Source organism: Homo sapiens, chromosome 12, assembly GCF_000001405.40.
Source record: "Homo sapiens chromosome 12, GRCh38.p14 Primary Assembly".
Classification (NCBI taxonomy): Eukaryota; Metazoa; Chordata; class Mammalia; order Primates; family Hominidae; genus Homo; species Homo sapiens.
In genome coordinates, this window is record NC_000012.12 from 119,389,467 (window position 1) to 119,412,179 (window position 22,713).

Sequence of the window (22,713 nt, forward strand, 5' to 3'; positions counted from 1 at the left end):
TTATTCCCCTGTGGTGCCAGCAGGGTTGAGCCCCAAGTTGCCCACGGTGGTCACCTGCTTGCTCATTAACATACCTTCCTCTCCTTGTCCCACTCTCCTATGGGGGTTTCCCAGGATCACCTCCCAAATACACTACTTGTGCTCACAAAGCTGTAACATACTAGACAGGCTTAGAAAAGAAGCAAGTAGAGTGGGAAATGGCAGGGGATTGTCGATCATGGTAAGTCTGAGCCCCTGAGCCCCAGACCCAAGGCATCTTTAGGGTTAGCCCCCCTACCCACCTCCCATCACTTCCACAAATCACCACCAACACACAGGCATGCACACACACACACATACACAGAGCAAGCTTGCCATTCATTTGGGTAGTGGCTTTGCACACATTACCATTAGTGGCTGATGAATTGAAAACTAAATGGAAAATGCAAATGGAAGACAAAGATGACTTTCTCTTCTCTGCATCAGGAAGACACCCTGACTCCTGGTCAGTGTGTGGCCACATGAAAGAAGTAGACTTTCTCCAGAGGGAAATATGTCTGTTTAGTCTGTAATGATGCATATTTTCATACATAAAATAAATAGGTCATCAAATCTCTCTCCTAAGGGAGGAAGGGCTCCTAACATCTCACTATTACATGTAATGCTACCATAATGCCATTCTCAAATCGTAAAAGACAAGGCTTCAATATACCTCACATCTTCCCACCTCCAGGCATTTGCACAAGCCATTCCTGCCGCCCAGAACATTCCCTTAATAAACACACTTTTGTCCTTCTTTGGGTCTGTTTAGATACTACTTCCCAAAGACACCTTCCCTAATCCTCCCTGCAGGTGCTCCCTGTCAGTAAGCAGATCAGGGCCCTAAAACACTGTTTGTTGTGCTTACTAAATTTATCCTGGTACTTACTATAATAACTAAATAAATGTTTGTTTAATGTCTTTCTCTCCCACCATTCTATACATCACATCTCTCCTGTTTACAGTCACAGCCCCAGTGCCTGACATTTAGTGGATAATCAATATATTTTTTAAATAGATGAATCAGTGAATGGGTGAATGAATGAATGAATGGACAAATGAATGAATGTGGATGGACCCCTCAGAGAGTGGTCATTCTTTCAGTATAATGATGCCAAGATGAGTTCTTTGATGACCAGAGGAAGCTCTCTGCTTTTCAAATTCTAATCTGCAAGGAATCACTTGGAGATCCTTGTGGAAATGCAGATTTGAATTCAGCAGCTCGGAGTAGGGCTGAGACTTGCTTTTCTGACAAGCCCCCAGGTGACACAGATGCTTCTAGTTCCCGAGCCACACTTTGAGTAGCAAGGAGTTAGATGATCTTAAGCAAGAACAGTGGCAGGTGCATTTATTTTTAAAGAGCTCATTCCTTTTGCCCTCATTGACATTTATTTTTACAAAAGTTCTAAAAAGCAGCAGTGCTTCCAGGCGGGGCAGCCATGCCACTTGGCTTAATTTCCTGCTGTTTAACCTCAGGCCACCTAGTCAGACCTCAGTACACATTCAGGATTTTGTGTGATGCCATTTCTCATTTTAGGTTAGGTCTTAACCACATTCCTCAATGAAGCACCCAGTTCTGCATGACTTTACTTTTTATAAAATGTGAGGGGAGGATTTGAGGATGCTGAGATGAACCAAATTCAAGAAGCATCAGAAAATGGACTGTTACCCACACGTCTCTGTGGCTATTCTGAGCTCCTCTAAGCCACAGTAGGACCAGCAGCACCTACTGTCACCATTCATGCCAGTGTGACTTCTTTTTCCAAGTATGTGTCTATGTGTATGTGTGTGTGTGTCTTTTCTTAAAATGCCATCCACGTCTGGGTGCTTTCAGGACTTATAGAGGACATTCTGAGCTGCAGATCCTGAGGACTTCAACAATAATCATCAAATTGCTGAAGTACCAGACAATACCTTAATGTCTTAGGCATGGATATAATGTTAGAACTTGAGCTCTAGCCTCAGACTGATCTGGATTGGAGAGTCACCACCCATACCTCATAGCCATGTGCCTTTGGGCAAGTTACTTGGCCCTCTTGGGCCTCAGTTTCTGCCTCTGCACAATGACAGCAATAATAACCTCTACCGGAAAGGGTTGTTGTGAATGTCAAACAGAAAAGTGCATGTAATGTGCATGCTGCAGAGTAATGTGCATGTCATGTGATGCTGCGGTGTCTGGCACCTAGCAAATGAGAGCTATCGTTAGCGCTGTTATTACTGTTGTTGTTGGTACTCCTAGAGAAAGCTAAAAGAATTTTGTTGTGTAGGTTGACAGGGCTTTTCTGTATTAGGATTAGCAAAGGTCCAGTATCTTTTTCTTCCTTCTGAGCCCTGCAAAAATGCTTGGTCTGAAGTGGCCACCTTCTGGAAGCTTTCTGCAGTGGGGTCCCGCAGCATACCAGTGAGTTGTGTGGCACGTCTGAGTGCTCGAGACAGCTGTTCATTCTATTGCTTTGCTCCACTGTGCAATTGGGTGTGCAATATTGCAGAGGTCAGGAGCCAAAACCCAGGAGAGGGCTCTGGAAGTATTCAGCAATCTGTGATTACAAGACCAGCTAACTCAGGCCCCCCTCAATCATAAGTAACATAAACCCTTTCAGAGATCAAGAAAGGGTGATTTATTCTAGAGAAAGGGGTGTCCTGTGGAGTTCAGATGTAGGAGATGCTGTGAAACCTCCCAGTGTAGTGGTCCCAAGACCTAGGATATCACTGGTCTAGGATATCCATCACTTCATCTTCCCCAAAATCCACCCTCTGCAGCCCAGCAGACATGGAAGAAGGCAGCTACTCACAGAGACCCTGTTTCTCTGAGAACTGCCTCCTGTTGGACTGTAGCCAGCTTTGAACTAAGTGACACAGCTCCACTCTCTTCACCTCTGCTGTGAGGAGAAGTGGACACTTAACCCAAGCTAGGCCAATAAGTTTCTTCCTGAGAGTTTGGAATTATGGCTGAATTAGTCCTGGCTGGTTTTCTCATCTGTAAAATGGTGATAATAATAGTAACATTTACCTAGTAGAGTTGTGGTGGAGATCAAATGAGAGATGCCATGCCAAGTTCTTACCCAACGCAGGGTGCATAATAAGCACTCAATAAAATGACTGTTATGATCATGGTTATCCCCAATACCAAACACCACAGCATAAGGCCTAGCACAAAGTGGTGCTCAATAAATATTTACGGGATGAATGAATCAATCAATCAGGGAATGCCATAGGCTGCAGTCAGCCATGCTAGTTGATGCTCAGCCATGGCAATGTATGAACCACATGTTTGTACAAAACCTCTTTCTGGAGAACAGAGGACTTTGCCTCCTAAACGAAACCAGGTTGAACATCCTGACCCTGGGTCTCGTGTTTGTGAGGTGCAAGTACTATATAACAGTTTTGTGGCCAGGTGCAGTGGCTTACACCTGTAATCCCAGCACTTTGGGAAGCCAAAGCAGGAGGACTGCTTGAGACAAGGAGTTTGAGACCACCCTGGGCAACACGGCAAGAATCCATCACTACAAAAATACAAAAAATTAAAAATATCAGACAGTCATGGTGGCACACGCCTATGGTCCCAGTTACTTAGCAGGCTGAGGTGACAGAATCACTTGAGCCCATGAGATTGAGGCTGCAGTGAGTTGTAATTGCACCACTGCACTCCAGCCTGGGTGACAGAGCAAGATCCTGTCACAAAAAAGAAAGAATTCTGAGGGTTGCCAGGTACTCACCATACATTTTACGGCTCATTAAATCTCTAATTAGACAAACTCAATCGTGTGTTTTTGTTAAAATGAGATTTGGGCCATTTCAAAGATTTCATCGTGCAGGAAATATGGTTTAAGTTTTCCTTGGAAAGGGAGGAGGGGGAAAATGCATTTCACAATAGCATCCAAGAGTTCCAAAGCGTATTTCTGATTTTATACTTCCTGCAGTCATTCTCTCTTTCACAAATGATTCCTTGTTTTGCTTTCGCTGCTCCCGAATTGTATTTATTTTGTCTGCATCTCCACCTACGCCCTAGGCTCAAAAATGCACATCCTGGAGATTTGTACCTGCATTAAACAGGGAGCATGTTTATATTTTTAAAATGTAGCTGCAGTAAACAACTTTTGAAATGTACATGGAATAAATGCAGACAAACATGCTTAATCAACTCGCCCTTGGAGAGCAAGACACAGGGAAAGCTTTGCAAATGAAATTTTCTCCCAGTGGTTTAGAAAAGAGCCTTCAAAGTGGCAACTCGTGCCCACACCTGGACAGGCTTCAAGAGGAAAGAAATATCAGTCTGGAGCTTCCTGCTTTTGTGTGACGTTTTCAGTGAAGGGATAGAGCAAGGAAATAAGGATTCATTTAATAAATGACACAAGGTCAGATGACCTCTTCTGGTGCAACAGGGCTACAATGAAGCCATCAGACTTTAACCAGCACCTTCAGGAAGTGAGCACGTACACACGCCATGTTTGGTGTTGTAAAACAGTGTTTAACAGCCCTGATCATCTTGAGCTTAAGCATTTTAGAGTCTCAAGATGCTGGAACTATGACAGGCCCTTAATAGGCCCCCAGAAAATATTTGTGGAACTAATAATCATCATGCTAGATAAAAAATGACAGATTCCATTTACCAATAGCTTGCTACATGCCAGGCATTCTGTGTTCACTAAGTTTAATTGTTACAACTGTACCGCAAAGCAAGTATTGTTATAAGCACCTTCACCATGGTAGAAATGAGAACACAGAGGCTCAGAGAAGATAAAGGACTTGTCCAAGGTCACTCCACTGGGAAGCAGAAGCTTGAGGATTTGAAACCTATGTCTGTCTGATACTAAAATCCGCATTATTGTCTCTTGTCTCCCCAACGTCTCTCCTTTTTCTTCTTAAAAGCATTTTCCCTAGTTCCTTCTGCCTGTTACAAAGGAAACGGGGTAATTTCATGCTTCAAGAGATCTACATGCTTAGCGTCCACCCACCATGTGGTAGTCCAGGCAAGGACATACTCCGTGCCTCTGGCAAAGCCCAAGGAGACCTCTCACTGCCCCCCAGGCATCCCCTAAAAGCACAGTTGCACTTTCTAGTTACTCCCAGAATGAATACCCCCATGGATGCACAGAAAACAGTAATTCTCATGGGTGACCAAGGCATGGCATGCACGACCATATGGGCAACTGGTCTCCCCAAGACTGAATGGGAAAATTGAATATCTTTGTCCTTCATGTCCTTTTTTGTCCTTGCCACCTTCCAGCTGTTGCATCTCCTGTTAAATAACGTCACTTTCCTCCAACTTTCATTTAGTCAAGCAACAAACACTCACTGATCCCTTACAAGGTCAGCTCTGATCTCAGGATCAGATCCCTACCTGAATAGGGGCAGATGCATAAAACAAGTAACTTTAGTGCATGAGCTCAGTGTTCCAAGAAAAGAGACTTGATCAATATGCTCTGGAAACACAGAGAAGCATGACTAACTCAGCCAGTGGAGGGAGAATTGAAGAAGGGGGTGCTTACGAAGGCTTCATAATGGTGAGGATACTTAAGTTGGGTCTTGAAGGATGAGTAGTTTTCCAAGTGAGAGAAGAGAGAAACAGCATTGCCTACAGAAGGTATAATGTGTTTCCAGGAGTTCAGCGTGTTTCAGAAGTACTCAGAGTGGCTGCAGAAAAGAGTGTATCTGGGCAGAGGTGCAACCAACAGATGAAAAGTCATGAATGACTCTATAGAACACCCTGAAGAATTGAGGCTTTCCTTTGTGATCCATGGAAGCCACTGAAGGGTCTTGAGCAAGAGCATGTGTATTAGTGCATTATTGCACCACTATAAAGAAATACCTGAGACTGGGTAATTTACAAAGAAAGGTGGTTTACCTGGCTCACAGTTCCACAGGCTGTACAGGAAGCATGATGCTGGCTTCTGGGGAGGCCTCAGGAAACTTATAACCATGGCAGAAGGCAAAGGGGAAGCAGACCCGTCTTACCAAATGGGGAAGAGAGAGAAAGAGTGGAAGTGCCACACACTTTTAAAAGACCAGATCTTGTGGTAACTCACTATCATGAGAACGGCACCAGAGGGGAAATCCACCCTCATGAACCAATCACCTCCCACTAGGACCCAACAACATTGAGGATTACAATTTGACATGAAATTTGGGCAGGGACAAAGACCCAAACCATATCAGCACGGTAATGAGTTTCACTCTATAGAAAGATGGTACATTAGTTTTTAGGGCTGCCATAACCAATGATCACAAATGGGTGGCTCAAAACAGCAGACATTTATTCTCTCCCAGCTCAGGAGGTGAGAAGTCCAAAACCAAGATGTCAGCAGGGTTAGTTTCTTCTGGAAGCTCTCATGTTCCATGTCTCTCTCCCAGCTTCTGGTGGCTCCTGCAATCCTTGGTGTTTGTTGGCTTGTAGCCTCATCACTCCAGTCTCCACTTCCATCTTCACATGGCATTCTCCTCCATCATGCATCCTTTTCTTTCTTTTTTTTTTAGATGGAGTCTCGCTCTGTTGCCCAGGCTGAAGTGCAGTGGCTTGATCTCAACTCACTGCAACCTCTGCCTCCCGGGTTCAAGCGATTCCTCTCCCTCAGCCTCCCAAGTAGCTGGGATTACAGGCGCCCACCACCTCGCCTGGCTAATTTTTGTATTTTTAGTAGAGACTGAGTCTCACCATGTTGGCCAGGCTGGTGTCGAACTCCTGACCTCAAGTGATTCCCCCGCCTCAGCCTCCTAAAATGCTGGGACTACAAGCGTGAGCCACCAAACCTGGCCTTATCCTCTCCTTTTCTTATAAAGACACCAGCCATTGGACTTAGGGCCTAAGTTAGTATGACTTTATCTTGACTAATTACATCTGCAAAGGTAACATATAAGGTCCCATTCTGGGTGGATGTGAGTTTCAGAAGGACACTATTCAACCCACTCCAGATTGTATAGAGGTGAGAGTGGCAGTGGGAACCTAGGAGACCAGCCAGAAAGCCATCCCAAAAGAGGAGGAATGGGTCATGGATGCAGCAGTGGAACAGGGACCCACTATCACAACAAGGGCTTTGGTGTGGGCCCTTTCCCAGAAAGAAGGGGGTCATAATGACACAGTGAGTCCCATTGGAAGAGACCTCAAAGATCAAATTGGGCCAGACACAGGAGCCAATACCTGTAATCCCAGCACTTTGAGAGGCCAAGGCAGGAGGATCACTTGAGGTCAAGAGTTCAAGACCAGCCTAGACAATATAGCAAGACCCAGTCTCTACAAAAAAATTTAAATAATTAGACAAGTGTCTGGTGTGTGCCTGTGGTCCTAGCTACTCAAGATGCTGAGGCAGGAGGATCACTTGAGCCCAGCAGCTCCAGGCTGCAGTGAGCTGTGATAACACTGCATCCAGAATTGGTAGGTTCTTGGTCTCGCTGACTTCAAGAATGAAGTCACGGACCCTCGCAGTGGGTGTTACATTTCTTAAAGATGGTGTGTCCAGAGTTTGTTCCTTCAGATGTTCAGATGTGTCCAGAGTTTCTTCTTTCTAGTGGGTTCGTGGTCTCGCTGGCTTCAGGAGTGAAGCTGCAGACCTTCACAGTGCATTTTACAGCTCTTAAAGGCAGGGCATCTGGAGTTGTTCGTTCCTCCCCTCCAGAGTTGTTCATTTCTCCCTGTGAGTTCATGCTCTCGCTGGCTTCAGGAGTGAAGCTGCAGACCTTCATGGTGAGCATTACAGCTCATAAAGGTGTTGCAAACCCAAAGAGTGAGCAGCAGCAAGAGTTATTGCCAACAGCGAAAAAACAACACTTCCATGATCTGAAAAGGGACCTGAGCCGGTTGCCTCTACTGGCTCCAGCAGCCTGCTTTTATTCCCTTATCTGGCCCTACCCACACCCTGCTGATTGGCCCATTTTACAGAGAGCTGATTGGTCCGTTTTACAGAGAGCTGATTGGTCCATTTTGATAGAGTGCTGATTGGTGCGTTTACAATCCCTGAGTTAGACACAGAGTGCTGATTGGTGCATTTGCAATCCTCTAGCTAGACATAAAAGTTCTCCAAGTCCTCACCAGATTAGCTAGATACAGAGAGCTGATTGGTGCATCCATGAACCCCGAGCTAGACACAGAGTGCTGATTGTTGCATATACAATCTTCCAGCTAGACATAAAAGTTCTCCAAGTCCCCACTCAACTCAGGAGCCCAGCTGGCTTCGCCTGGTGGATCTTGCAAGTGGGGCAGGGGTGGAGTTGCCGGCCAGTCCCACCCCGCTGCCTGCACTCCTCAGCCCTTGGGCGGTCAATGGGACCGGGTACCACGGAGCAGGGGGCAGCGCCCGTCAGGGAGGCTGGGTGGGGCAGGGTGGGGAAGGGGGGAGGGAGGGGGGAGGGGGGGAGGGGGAGGGGGGGGGGGGGAGGGAGGGCAGAAAGTGGGGCAGGGAGGAAGGGGGTGGGGGAGGAAGGGGGCAGGGTGGGGAAGGAAGGGGGCGGGGAGGAAGGAAGGGGGCTGTGTGGGAGGGGGAGGAAGGGGGTGGCGTGGGGAGTGGGAGGAAGGGGCGGTGTGGGGGGATGGGAGGAAGGGGGCGGCGGGAGGGAGGAAGGGGCAGCGGGGGGGGAGGAAGGGGGTGGGGGGAGAGGAAGGGGCCGCGGGGGGAGGAAGGGGGCGGTGTGGGGGGAGGAAGGGGTGGCAGAGGGGAGGAGGAAGGCGGGGGGCTCAGGCATGGCGGGCTGCAGGTCCGAGCCCTGCCCTGTGGGGAGGTGGCTGAGGCCTGGCAAGAATTTGAGTGCGGTGCGGGCAGGCCGGCAGTGCTGGGGGACCCGGCGCAACCTCTGCAGCTCCTGGCCCAGATGCTAAGCGCATCACTGCCAGGCACCGGCACCGGCCAGCCGCTCCTAGTGCGTGGCCCTCCGAGCTTACGCCCACCCGGAACTCGTGCTGGCCTGGGAGCATGGCACGCAGACTCGGTTCCCACCCGTGCCTCTCCCTGCACGCCTCCCCGCAAGCAGAGGGAACCAGCTCCAGCCTCGGCCAGCCCTGAGAGGGGCTCCCACAGTGCAGCTCAGGCTGAAGGGCTCCTCAAGCGCGGCCAGAGTAGGCACCAAGGCCGAGGAGGCGCCAAGAGTGAGGGCTGCTAGCACCTTTGTCACCTCTCAGCACCACTGCTCTCTATCCTGGGCAGCAGAGCAAAACTCCATTCCTTTAAAAAAATCAAATTGCTCACTTTTCCTTTTCACTGATAAAAGTGGTCATGGACACACTATTAAGTGGTGAAACTAGCATTTTACAATTAGATAATCTGTCTTGAGGATCCCTTTATAGTCTTAAGATTGTTTAATGCGTACTGACTCTTTGTAGTAAGGTTTAGTTTAGGCCTTCAAGAGCTAAGGAGTTTATTGGCAGAGCCCAGAATTGTCTTAACAGACAACATTTATTAAGCACACACTAAATGCCAGGTACTATGTGAGGTACCTAGAATTTATTAGCTGTAATTCTCATATCTCTAAAAAGAAAGGCAATATTATGAATGTCTCCTTTTTACAGATGAGGAAATTGATGCATGGGGAGGTTCTAACTTGCCCAGAGTCACACAGTGATGACAGTGACCTGCAATATAGGGCCATGCAATGCCAAAGGAAGTTTCTCAAACAAAAACTATGGAGAAAAAAAATATAGGATGAAGGGCAGTGGGGTATGAATATTTCATCAATTCAAGAGGCCCCAGTTTATCTTGATCCTAAGGAAGAAGTCTTTGTGTCCCTAGCTTAGGATAAAGAACCAGCTCTGGAAGCCTGGATGACAGACTGGGGTCACCCTCTTAGTTCATGGGGTGCTCAAAAGGAGATGCACCCAGGACCCAGATGGGCATCCTCCTGTTGAAAGAGGGACCTGGGATCCAACTTAATTAATCATCTTCTCACTGCCAAGGTTTCCCTTGCCCTCCCATCTGTTCTATTCTCCAGGGATTAAGGGACCTTTACAGTTCCAGCTCATTCAGAATAAAGTTCCTTCAAATGAGTGGCCAATTTCTTTTTTTCCTTTGAGCCTGACATGCGGAGCCAGCTGTTGACTTAGGAAACTCTGCCAACAGTGCGTGTCGGGTGCAGACCTCATCTGGTGTCTGCTTGGGATTTTCCTTTTAATTATAATTATACTTCAAAGGGAATCTGGAACTTGCAGAGCCAAAGATCAAAGCCTCAAGAGGGGCTACGTTCTCCCTAACAGTCCCCAACAGGGCTCTGAAGACAGGGGGGAAGGGAAGGATGTATGTGATGCCATCAGCCTGGCTAACCTCAGCCCTCCCACATCGCACCCTGTGTTCATGTGGCTGCCACTGGGCATCCAGCTTAGCCAACTAGTCCCTTCAGTGTGGCCAGAGTAGGAAATTACCTACGGGGTATGATCTGAGGATGGAGCAGCATAGTCCACACTAAAACATACCCCTACACACCAAAACTTGCTACATGCCTAATATTACACCACTTGCCAAGCAGCTTTTTAGATTAAGTATCGTGCACTCCATGCTCTGCTATTTCAAGGTGAAAATGCTACTAAGCTAGTGATGCTATGTGTCACTCCCACCTTAGTATAAATTAGCCTACAGGTTGGTTTCCTTTTTTTTTTTTTTTTTTTTGAGACGGAGTCTCACTCTGTCGCCCAGGCTGGAGTGCAGTGGCGCGATCTCAGCTCACTGCAACCTCCGCCTCCGGGGTTCACACCATTCTCCTGCCTCAGCCTCCCGAGTAGCTGGGACTACAGGCGCCAGCCACCACGCCCGGCTAATTTTTTGTATTTTTAGTAAAGACGGGGTTTCACCGTATTAGCCAGGATGGTCTCGATCTCCTGACCTCGTGATCCACCCGCCTTGGCCTCCCAAAGTGCCGGGATTACAGGCGTGAGCCACTGCGCCCGGCCCGGTTGGTTTCCATAGGTCAGAGCAGCATGAGGATATTTAGCACTGGGTGGAGGAAGATAATTGATGGAGACGAGTAAATATTTCAATATCGCTAAAAAGGGAAAGAAATGAAGGAAACCAACATGTATTAAGCACCTACTGTGTGATAGTCTTTCACATATGTGATATTATTTGTTTTCTTAGCAACCCTCTAAAGTTGGCATTATCACCTGTATTTTGTAGTTGTCCCTCGCCTCCCAGTTGGGTTTAATCCAGTGGTTCTCAGACTTTAACAGCCATAGGAATGCCTGAAAGTGGAGATTCCTTGGTCCACACCAGAGGTTCTGGTTCACCTGGTCAGAATGTAGTCCATGAATTTGCAGGCGTAATAAGCTCCCAAATGATGCTGCTGGCATTGGTTCATGGACCACGGCTTGAGCAGCACTGGATTTGGCCAGTCATAGCTATCTTATTTGCTTCGCCAACAACTGGTTCGAATGATGGCCATCCCGGAGAGCCCATTTGGGCCAATGGGTGCAGGAAAGAAGCCTTGACCCTGGTTGCTGTCAGAAGCCACTTTACAACCATGAGGGGAAGATGTCTAAAGATGAGGCTGATTCTGTGGGCAATTCACTCTGTGCAGAGCTCAGTGACATGACAGACCTTCAAAGTCAACCCTGAAATCCCAAATCCTACTCTGTACTTCTTCTTACATGGAGTAATAAATTTCCTTATGTGTAAGCAACAGTGAGTGGAGTTTCCTGTTACTTTCAGCTCAAAGACATTATCAACATTCTCAGATGAAGAAAGAGGGGCTTGGTCCAAGGCCCATGGTCACAGAGCTGGTTACCCAGGTCCGTGTGATGTCAAGTGTCCTTCCAATTTACCACACTGCCTGAGAGGTTTTCTCTTCCAATACCTGATGTGACTCCCCATCTACTTTGGCACAAGCATTTGAGACCAGACCCATCTAATCTCCTATCACCAAGAGGTTCAGGATCCCATTCATCCATCCAACTGTCCATCCATCTGTCCATCCATCCATCCTTTCATTCATCAAGCATTTATCCAGCACTTGCTGCGTATCAAATCCTGTACTCAAGGCTGGGGATCTACTGCAAGACAAGACGCAATCTTGGCCCCGAAGGAGCTCAGATCTAGAGGAAGAGACAGCCCGACAATCTCAGCATCTCTTTCTACGTTCAAGACAAGGGCATTGAGCTCAGCCTATGGATGTCCAGATGTCCAGTTGTTGTAGGTTTCTAAGGTGTTGGCAGATAATTAAAACCCAGTCTTCTTTTGTTTGACTCAGATAGATTTATCCACTTTTGGAAGGTTGAATTTATTTTAACATCAGTAAACCAATTCAAGATATCCTCAATAATGGATATCATACAAATATTCAACCATCACATTTCTCTGTTTATAGAGCATCAAAGTGCACAGTACATTGTAAAGCTGCTAATTAATTCTTGTAACGCCCTGGTGTCATGAGCAAAAGGCAGATAATAACCCTATTTTACCAGTGGGACCAATGGCCGCTGTAATTCAGCAACTAGCCTGTGGTCATGTGGCAGATCACCTGCATTTTATACCTTCATTAACAGCACAGCTTATTAATTGTAACAATTACATTCACAATTAACATTTATTGAGAGCCCCCATAAACCTGGCTCTGTCCTAAGAACTTTATACACACATCACGTCCATCACTGGAGGTGCAGCCTCATGTTCCTTCCTCAGACTCATGAAAAAATAAGATCTCCCTGCAGCCAGGGAGGTGGAATATTCTGATTGGCTGGGCCTGCATGTGATGTTGTGTTGATTCTCCATCACAAGCCTATGAAGTAGGCTTTGTGATTATTCTCACCTTGCACACAAGGAAACTGAGGCTCAAAGAGTAATCTTATCTGCCAAAGACCCTGGCTGGTGAACTCAGGTCTGTATGACTCCAAATCCCATACCCTGCCCTTTGACTTATTGCACCTGCTGGGTGACATGTTGGAAGGAGAGGATCGTGTATTCTTGTCCTGAGTCTTCCATTCCTTTGCTGTGTGACGTTAGGAAAATTCTCCAGCTTCTCTGAGTCTTAGATTGCACATCTGTTGGTGAAGCAGAGAGAGTACAAGCTTTGGAGCCAAAGTGCAGTTTGTGTTTGAACCCCACCTCTGTTCCTTACTCTGTCATGTAACTGGAAATTAACCTCTCTGGACCTGTTTTCTCATCTGTAAAATGGAGATAATAGCAGTCCTATCCCACAAAATATATTGCAAGGGTAAATGGAAATAATATGTGTAAAACTAAGTGGGTAGCACATAGTATGCACTTAGACACTTAGTAGGTAAATGGCAGCTGTTTTTAGTGTGTCTGTCATGTGATGGAGGTGTTGTGTTGGGTAATCTCTCAACGCTGATGATCTCTGATAATTTTTAAATGAAAGATCTCCCATGGATTTTGGTTTAGCCACAGAGAACTAGTGTAACTCTCCAGGGGTGTAGTTTGGGGTTGTCTTGACAAAAATATTTGCAATATGCTAACAAAATTGTGGTCAAATCAAGATCCTGCTAGTTGCAAATGATAGAAAACCCCAATTCAATGTGGCCTACGCAAAAGAGAAAACTAATTATCTAAGATTAACAAAAAGTCCACAAATAAACCTAGCTTTAGGAATAATGAGTTCCAAGTGTTCGAACATTATCTCCAGATACATACTCTTCTTTCTTCTGTGTTGCCTTCATTCTCAGGCAGGCTTTACCAAGTTGATGGCCAAGATAGTCGCCAAGAGCTCTAGGCTCACATTCTTCCATGGGAGCAACCCCAGCAGAAAGAGATCTTCTCTTTCCCAAGAGCAGCAGCAAATGTCCTGAGACTAAATACCTTGGTTTTTCTTTGGGTCTCAGACTCATGAAAAAATAAGATCCTCCCTGCAGCCAGGGAGGTGGAATATTTTGATTGGCTGGGCCTGCATCCCGTGTTCACCTCCGAAGCCACATGGATGGAAGGTGAGAGAGGAAGGCTCCCATGGGGAGTTGACTGGAGCATCTATGCCTGGGAGGAAACTAGTACCGTCTAGCTGCCAGTCTGCAGATTTCCTGGGCTTGGAGTCTAGGAGCATAACGTCGAGCTTTAATCACCAAGTTGCAGATTTCCTGGGCTTGCAGTCCAAGAGCATAACATTGGGCTTTAATCACCCAGCTACAAATTGGTGTCCCACTCCCAATCACAGTGGCCTGGGGAGAGTCCCAGCAGCCACACTCAAACCCCTCAGCCCCATCTTCCCCCTGTGCCCTCTGCATAAAATCCCAGATCCCAGCTGCTGTCACGATCATGACTGGCCCTTTCTACCGCTCCCTTGTTCCTCACCCCTCCCCTCCACCAACCCTATTGCTATGCTCCAGCTGGACTGAGCCACCTTCACTATCAAGTTCTCACTCACCTCCATCCCGATCTTTGCAAATGCTGTCCCCTCTGCCTGGCACATCTTCCTCCTTCCTCTTCTTTTATTTATTTTTTCAATTGAAAAATGAAAAATTGTATATATTTATGGCATACAACGTGATGTTTTGATGTATGTATACATTGTGGGATGATTGAATCAAGCTAATTAACATATCCATCACCTCACATACTAATCATTCCTCATCCTTTAGAACTGTACTCAGAAGTCATTTCCTTTAGGCCGGGCACAGTGGCTCATGCCTAGAATCCCAGCACTTTTGGAGGCCGAGGTGGGCAGATCACTTGAGGTCAGGAGTTCGAGAACAGCCTGGCCAACATGGCGAAACTCTGTCTCTACTAAAAATACAAAAAAGTTAGCTGGGCATGGTTGCATATGCCTGTAATCTCAGCTACTTGGGAGGCTGAGGCAGGAGAATCACTTGAACCCGGGAGGCTGAGATTGCAGTGAGCCAAGATCACGCCACTGCACTCCAGCCTGGTTGACAGAGTGAGATTCTGTCTCCAAAAAAAATAAAAAGTCATTTTGTTTATCCTTCTGACTGTCCTCCACCCTTGCTGGGTCAGTTGTGTGCTCACACCTCCAGCTCCCTCACTCCCACCACAGCTACATCATATGATATCATAACTGCTTAATTATCTGCCTACCTCCCCCCCACCACCCTGCCATCAATGAGACCCTGAGAGGGAGTTTGGGGGTGGGTGTGTGTTTCCTAGCTCTGAGCTGGGACCCCCAGAGGGGCTCAGGAAGACCTTTTTGAATGGAGAAATATCTGGACAGTGAGGATGATTTATTGACAAGTCCACAGGTCAGAAGAGCAAGGAGCAAGGCACCAAGTGTGAGATGGACTTGAGAAGGTCCTGGTTAGTTGCCAAAGACCCCAACAGGGATGAGGACAGGTAGGTCTGTCAGAGGTTAGGCAGATAGGGCACTCTTGAATCTCAGCTCTAGATAAGATCTTAACCCAGCTCCAAAACCATGACAGATCTAGAGGGTCGTGCCCAGCAGGGCCCCTTAGAGACAAAGATCCTCACCACTCCCTCCCCAAAGGCACATGGAGATGGTTTGAAAGAAATCTTTGCAGTTCCCACAAAAAGCTTGTGATCTGCAAACAAAAATGCTCCCTCACCTACCTTTGAGGCACTTGGCTCACCTCCTTCTAATTTGCATGATGAACCTGCTTGGGTCTCTGATTAACCCCAGGAAAGCATGAAAATGAGCATTTGACATCATCAAGGGCATCCATGCTTGCTCCTCTTTGGAGAAAGGAGCTCCTCTATTCAGGCTTTCACGTTTGAAAATAATAAGCAAGTTCAGCTCATTTCTCCACCCCAGGCTGCAAACTGCAGCCTTCTCCTGTCTCCGTGCACACCCCCAGGAACCGTGTTTGCTAACAACCAAGAGGAAGGTGTTTTGCTTTTCAAACAAGCCTGAACCCCAATTGGTTTCTCAGCGACTTGATCCTCATTGGTGGCAACTGCGGTTTCTCATCCAGCGTTGTTATTGATTTGGTCATAAGTAATTAAGGAGATAATTCTTACTCAATTACATTTCCTTGAATTTCCTGAGGTTGCTAACTCTGTTCCCCGGCTGTATTTTCTTTTCCAAATTAATTTTGTCTTGACTCTGAAATGAGCATGGATATTACAAGGCTTGTTGTGCTTGTTGATTTTCACGGTAACAAAGTCGGGCTCTGTATTTTAACTCCAACTAGGGCTCTCAAACTCTGTTAGTTTTTAGAAAATTAATGTAAAACATTCTCAGATTTAAAAAAAACCAAAAACAAATATCATCAAAAATCTTCTGCTGTAAAGCAGGAGTCCCTCTTCCCTGCCCTCTTCTCATCCTTGATGCCATCCCTCAGGGCAGCCGTGTCTAACACTTTTTGCTACTTCCTCCAATGACCCGTGCCTCTAAATTATATAAGTTTTACGTGTATTTCTTAGTTTATGCATTTAAAACTTGAATAATTTTCTGCTGTGAAAGATGAGGATCTAGTTACCGCATCCCCACACCACTCCCCACCCCTAACTCCCACCCTCCAAAAGTAGCCTTACCTTCAGCTCCCCTAGTGGTTAATTCTGTAATTAAAAAATATAGATGAGGCTGGGTGTGGTGGCTCACGCCTGTAATCCCAGCACTTTGGGAGGCCAAGGCAGGCGGATCCCCAGAGATCAGGAGTTCGAGACCAGCCTGACCAACATAGAGAAACTCCGCCCTTACTAAAAATACAAAATTAGCTGGGAGTGGTGGCACATGCCTGTAATCCCAGCTATTCAGGAGGCTGAGGCAGGAGAATCGCTTGAACCCGGGAGGCAGAGATTGTGGTGAGCAGAGATCGTGCCATTGCACTCCAGCCTGGGCAACAAGAGGGAAACTCTGTCTCAAAAAATATATATATATATAGATATATATATATAGAGAGAGAGAGAGAGAGTTGGGGTCTTCTTGCCTCATTCACCCTAGACAGCGTCTTTGACTCCTTACTTTGTGGAAGAGATGAGGGTCTCATCAGCTCCCCTTGCGTCTTTATTACTATTTTTACATTGTCAAGATCAATAGCATTCACATTCCATACCCATAATTCAGTTTCCCAGGCTTTGTCTCTGAGTTGTCTAAAAGTTGAAAAATCAACACATATTGAAGTTTTATTTTCATCCCTTCATCCACTCACTGAACAAATAACTGCCAAGAAGCCACTCTTTGTTTGGCATTGTGCCTGAAACCAAAAACACAATGTGACAAGGTCATACTCCTCGCATACATTGCAATGCTAGAATCCAGAGGAGGAGAGAGAAAACAGCATTTACAATGTAAGAGGAATAGCTGCTTAAATCAGTGGTTTTGAATATGTTTAAAATATGAATACAAAACATAATAAAAAGGTAAGCTGAATATAGCAAAAAAAAAAAAAGGTTTTAAATTGGAGCTGCTTGGTTTTCTTTTTACTTCATGAATATAAGCCAAGTCTTGGTGCTCCAGCCCCACCCACTTACCTACATACCCCCACTGATCCTCAGGCTGAAGCCAGAGCACCAGAGGATGCAATACACTAGGGTTTCTCTACTTCCTCCAGGGACTGAGACATGGTGACAGGCATCACGGCTGCATTTTGGTTTCATGTTTGTAAAGTTCCTTCATCAGCAGTGAGTCTTTACAGCATTCAATGTTCATAACACGCTGGCTGGAAATACCACTTTAGGGACAGCTAAGGACAAATATCTTCTTGTCATGAGAGGTGCCAGAACAGTCACCACAATGCCAGTGGGGTCAGCAGAGAACACCGAGGGGACATCCAGGGCCATAGGGGGGTATATTCTGACTGCCCTTGGCATGAATGTCCCATCCAGGTGGGGTGTGTGTACGTAAATGGAGCATAACACTAGAAGCCAGGTGGCCAAGTGCAGTAGGAAAATTAAAATTATAAGATGATGTATCTGGCCAGGCACTGTGGCTCACACCTATAATCCCAGCACTTTGGGAGGCCAAGGCGGGACAATTACTTGAGGCTAGGAGTTCAACATCAGCCTCGGCAACATAGTGACAACTCACCTCTACAAAAAAAAAGAAAAGAAAAGAAAAGAAAAAGAAATTTAATTAGCCAGGCATGGTGGCACGTGCCTGTGGTCCCAGCTACTTGGGAGCCTCAGGAAGGAGGATCACTTGAGCCCGAGAGTTCGAGACTGCAGCGAGCTATGATCATGCCACTGCACTCCAGTCTGGGTGACAGAGCAAGACCCTGTCTCAAAAATAAATTAATTAATTACTAAAAATATGTTGTATCTATCCAAGCACACATGCATGCATATGTACCAATTAAGAAAGCCCGAGATTGTTGTTCTACTTGCTTACCTTGGAAACGACCCAGTAGTTTCTTCACTTAATGATCACCACTGGGTTCATTTCCTGACCCTGTAGTTATATGCAGTCACTCTGCCCCTCCATGCCTTGGTAGTGGCTTTTTTTTAACCCATAAAATGGGCACTCCAGAAGGTGTATTTCTTATGGCTCTTGCCCAAACAGTTAGCAAATGGCAGAGCTGGGATTTAAAACCAAGTCTGTCTGATTAAGTCTGTGCTTTTCAATACTACAATCTACTGTCTCCTGTGGTAGTTCAGTTATGGAATGATCTTGTTTACAACCAAGTCATGCCCAGGCCGTGGACAAAAAATTAAATTAAATTAAAAATAAAAAGGTTTTCTCTGCTTTATTTTATTAGAAATAAAAAGGTTTTTTTTAAATGCATATGGGAGCCAGCTAATGGCTCACACCCTGAAACAGACCAACACATTTTTCTTGCCAATAGGGGAGACTGTTATAGTCAAAGAAGAGCTATTAATTTTGTGACTAGCCCCTAAAGAGAAAGTAAATGAGTTTATGTAACCCAAATCATCAACTGTTTCTTGTGGAGAGTTTATTCCTGTATAGCTGTATTTCAGTTACATATTTCTATGTGACAAATTACTCTAAACCTTAGCAGCTTAAGGCAACAAACATTGATTATCTCACAATCTCTGTGGGTCGGGAATCTAGGCATGGCTTAGCTGGGAGCCTCTGCTTCAGGATCTCCTGAGGCCACACTGAAGATGGCAGCTGGGCCTACAGTTATTTCAAGACTCAACAGGGAGACGGCTCACTCCTGAGCTCATACACTTGGCTATTGGCTGGTATCAGGTGCTTTCTGGCTGTAGGCTAGAGATGTATTAGGCTGGTGCAAACGTAGTTGTGGTTTCTGCCATTTAAAAGTAATAGCAAGGGCTGGGCGCAGTGGCTCACACCTGTAATCTCAGCACTTTGGGAGGCCGAGGTGGGTGGATCACGAGGTCAGGAGATCGAAACCATCCTGGCTAACACGGTGAAACCCTGTCTCTACTAAAAAAAATACAAAAAATTAGCCAGGCGTGGTGGCGGGCGCCTGTAGTCCCAGCTACTTGGGAGGCTGAGGCAGGAGAATGGTGTGAACCTGGAGGCAGAGCTTGCAGTGAGCCGAGATCAGGCCACTGCACTCCAGCCTGGGTGACAGAGCGAGACTCCGTCTCAAAAAAAAAACAAAGAGTAATAGCAATAACCGCAATGACATTGGCACCAACCTAATAAGTTTCTTGCTATGTGGACCTCTCCCAAAGAGAAGCTCACAACTTGGAAGCTGGTTTTCCCCAGATCAAGAGCAGGTGCCCAAGACAGAAGCCATGTTTATCCTGTAACCTCATCTCAGAAGGGACATTGCATCACTTTTGCCATGTTCTAGTCATTAGAAGTGAGTTACTAGGTTCAGCCCAACCTCCAGGGGAGGAGATTATACAAGAGTGTGAGTACCAGGAGGTGGGTATCATGGGGGATATCTTAAGAGGCTGCCTACCACAGACTCCGGTGTAGGGGAAAGCAAAACCTAGATCCTGATCATCGCCAACCTGGGTGCTGGGTGCCCCGGGATCTCCAGGCAAAATAAAAACACAGCTCTTGTCTTAGCAACAGTGTTGCTCAACCTCAGCACTCTTGAAAGTTTGGAGCTGATACGGCTTTGTGGGGGAAGAAGGACTGTCCTGTATATTGTAGGATGTTTAGCAGCATCATGGGCATCTACTTACTAGATGCACCACCCCCCAACCCCCAGCAAGTTGTGACAGCCAAAAAGAACTTCTGTAACACCTTGGGAAGTTGCCTGGTTATCTACTGAAGGTCTCCCTTGCAATGAGGAAGAGGAGGTATTGCAGCTACTAGGCAGCAGCAAGACCTTAATGAATGACATCTTTATTGTCCCCAAAATGTACTCCAGCCCTCACACCAACAAACAATTAAGAAATGCAAAAAGATAAATGATTTGAGATTTTGCAAACATAGAAGACTGGGATTTCACTCAATATCCATTTTCTGTGTTCTAATAAAACTTTATTTACAGAAACAGGCAGGCTTTTCCGTATCTTCTTGGTCCTCTGTGTTCCTTGACAGTTTCCCCGTGTGTCAGTCTTTGGCCTTCTAATCTTCATAATCTTAGTATCCTCTTCTCCCCTCCTCCCTCCAAGGCCCCCCTCTCTGTCTCTGTCTGTCTGCCTCTCTCTGTGTGTCTCCTTCTCACTCTTTCTCTCTCTCTGCCCTCTTTTCCCACCTCCCTCTCTGACAGTTAATTCAACACTCCTTACCTTAACTTCCAATTCCATCCTCTTCTCAGAGCTCCAATCCATGCATTAATGACAGCCTCTTAGCCACCACTCTTGTTCCCAGATTCAGCTCCAAAGACTCAAGAGTTTGGCATCAACCTGCTCCAGCCTCCTTATAGTCCCACGATACTCAATACCCTGACGCTCTCCAAGATACATTGTTATGTCAGGGGAAATCAGGACACAAACAGTGCTACCATGTGTATTTGTGTGAAAGGTAGATGCTAGTGTTGGAAAGAGTGTGTGTGTGTGTGTGTCTGTGTGTGTGTGTGTGTGTGGTTTCCAAATCTCTCTGGAAGGATACACAAGAACTTGATAACACTATTCATTTCCAGGGAGGGAAATGAATGGTTTGAGGACAAGGTGGAAGTAATACATTTTAAAAAGTGATGTACCTTTTGATACATTTTTTTAAACCATTTGAAAATACTACTTGCTTTAAAAAAACTAAAGTAATAAAAAATGAAATGACAGAAAACTCAGTGCTCCATCTTCAGTCCTTCACTGGGCCCTCACCCCTAAGCTGATTTTGCCGAAATGGCTTCTCAACAGCATTACCAGCTTCAGGAATGTTCTCTCCTGCCTCGTGACATCAGGAAAACCTTCATCACCACACCCCAATACACACACACACACAGGCACACACACACATCCCATACTCTGCATTCCAACCATTCCAGCTCCTTCTGGTTCCTTCTGTCTGAAACACCTATAGGGCAGAAAAAGTAAAACCCTTTACCTCACCCATCACAGTTCTTGGATGATATCCCCATAACAAAAGACGTATTAATGAAAGAAAAGCATAACAATTTTTTTTGAGACAGAGTCTCGCTCTGTCACTCGGGCTGCAGTGCGGTGGCGCGATCTCAGCTCACTGCAGCCTCTGCCTCCCCAGCTCAAGCAATTCTCCTGCCTCAGCCTTCTGAGTAGCTGGGACTACAGGCACGCACCACTACACTCAGCTAATTTTTGTATTTTTTTTTAGTAGAGACAGGGTTTTGCCATGTTGGCTAGGCTGGCCTCAAGTGATCCCCACACCTCAGCCTCCCAAAGTGCTGGGATTACTGGCATGAGCCACTGCGCCCGGCCACATTTATTTTTTTAACCGAAGTTTTACATAACATGGGAGCCTTCAGAAATGGAGACCCAAAGACCAAGGGAAAACTGTGTTTTTATGCTAAGTCTGATGAGAAGAGTGGATAGTTGTAGAGAAACGTGATTGGACAAAAAGGGGTGTTATCTAAAGGTAGTAAACCTAAGGGGAGGTGTGCTTAGGAAGGCATGTTTGTTCAGATTCTTTTCTGTGTCTCTGTAAGACATTTTTCCCCCAGGTATGGGACCAGAAACATGTCACATAGAACCATCAGGATGGAAGGGAGGAGGCCAGACAGTAGCCTTTCTAGGTTTTATGGCTTGCTTTGGGAGAGCGAAATTCTAGTTTCTGTGAGCCAGCTTGGGGGTGAAAAGCCTCGTTCATGTTCTGAACCCGGGAGGCGGAGGCTGCAGTGAGCCGAGATCACACCACTGGACTCCAGCCTGGGCAACAGAGCGAGACTCCATCTCAAAAAAAGAAAAAAATTGTTATGCTTTTCTCTCATTAATATGTCTTTTGTTATGGTGATGTCATCCAAGACCCTTGTGATGGGTGAGGTAAAAGGTTTTACTTTTTCTGCCCTATAGGTGTTTCAGACAGAAGGAACCAGACAGAGCTGGTTCTCACCTTGGGGGTGAGAAATTCCAGTTTCTATGACCTTCTCGGGAGAGAAAGAGGAGAGGTGGAAAGAAAGTCAGAGAGACCTTGTTTCTGAGCCTGTTCCCATCTCTTTCCATCCAAAATACTTAGCATGCCAAGGCACCATGTTTTGGGGTATCATGTTCTGAGCCCCGATACACCCTTTCCCCCAAGTTTTGTGTTCAGCACAGTCTGAATCGCTGCCAACAACCCTTCCAGCCCCCACACGGTTTGATGCCTGCACTTTCCTACATTGTAGTTAAGTGTCTCCTACTAGACCACCAGATCCCTGAGGAAAGGATGGCCCCTTGTTCAGCACCACATCCTCAGATATTTTCTAACTCCTAATAGATATTTAAGAAATATGTGAGCTGCTCTTGCCCCTCACTGAGCCTCAAAAGGTAATCCATGTAAATTTCCATCGAATGGCATCCAGGGGACAGCATTGTAGAATTCATATCCCAGCATCTCTGGTGTCACACTAAAGCTCAGCCCAAGAGTCAA

At 46.1% G+C, this 22,713-nt stretch overlaps 1 protein-coding gene and 1 long non-coding RNA gene across 9 annotated transcripts in view, besides 1 other annotated feature; one reads left to right on the forward strand and one right to left on the reverse strand.

Annotated features, from left to right (window-relative positions):
* CCDC60 (coiled-coil domain containing 60) overlaps positions 1 to 22,713 on the forward strand; it is a 206,312-nt gene that overhangs the window by 54,738 nt on the left and 128,861 nt on the right. The window lies entirely within an intron of this gene.
* Positions 1 to 22,713, reverse strand: part of PRKAB1-AS1 (PRKAB1, TMEM233 and CCDC60 antisense RNA 1) — a 280,141-nt gene that overhangs the window by 1,480 nt on the left and 255,948 nt on the right. Inside the window, exon 3 of one of the 4 annotated variants that reach the window (NR_188490.1) lies at positions 12,849 to 12,964. The exons of the other annotated variants lie outside the window; for them this stretch is intronic. This is a non-coding gene — a long non-coding RNA (PRKAB1, TMEM233 and CCDC60 antisense RNA 1). The remainder of the gene's footprint in view (positions 1 to 12,848; positions 12,965 to 22,713) is intronic. 4 annotated transcript variants of the gene reach the window in all.
* Positions 892 to 1,393: an enhancer, noted in NCBI's record as "NANOG hESC enhancer chr12:119828163-119828664 (GRCh37/hg19 assembly coordinates)". NCBI's record gives its function as "activates a minimal SCP1, AML or CMV promoter by ChIP-STARR-seq in primed H9 embryonic stem cells {active_cell/tissue: H9 hESC(primed)}" and the evidence as "EXISTENCE:reporter gene assay evidence [ECO:0000049][PMID:30033119]".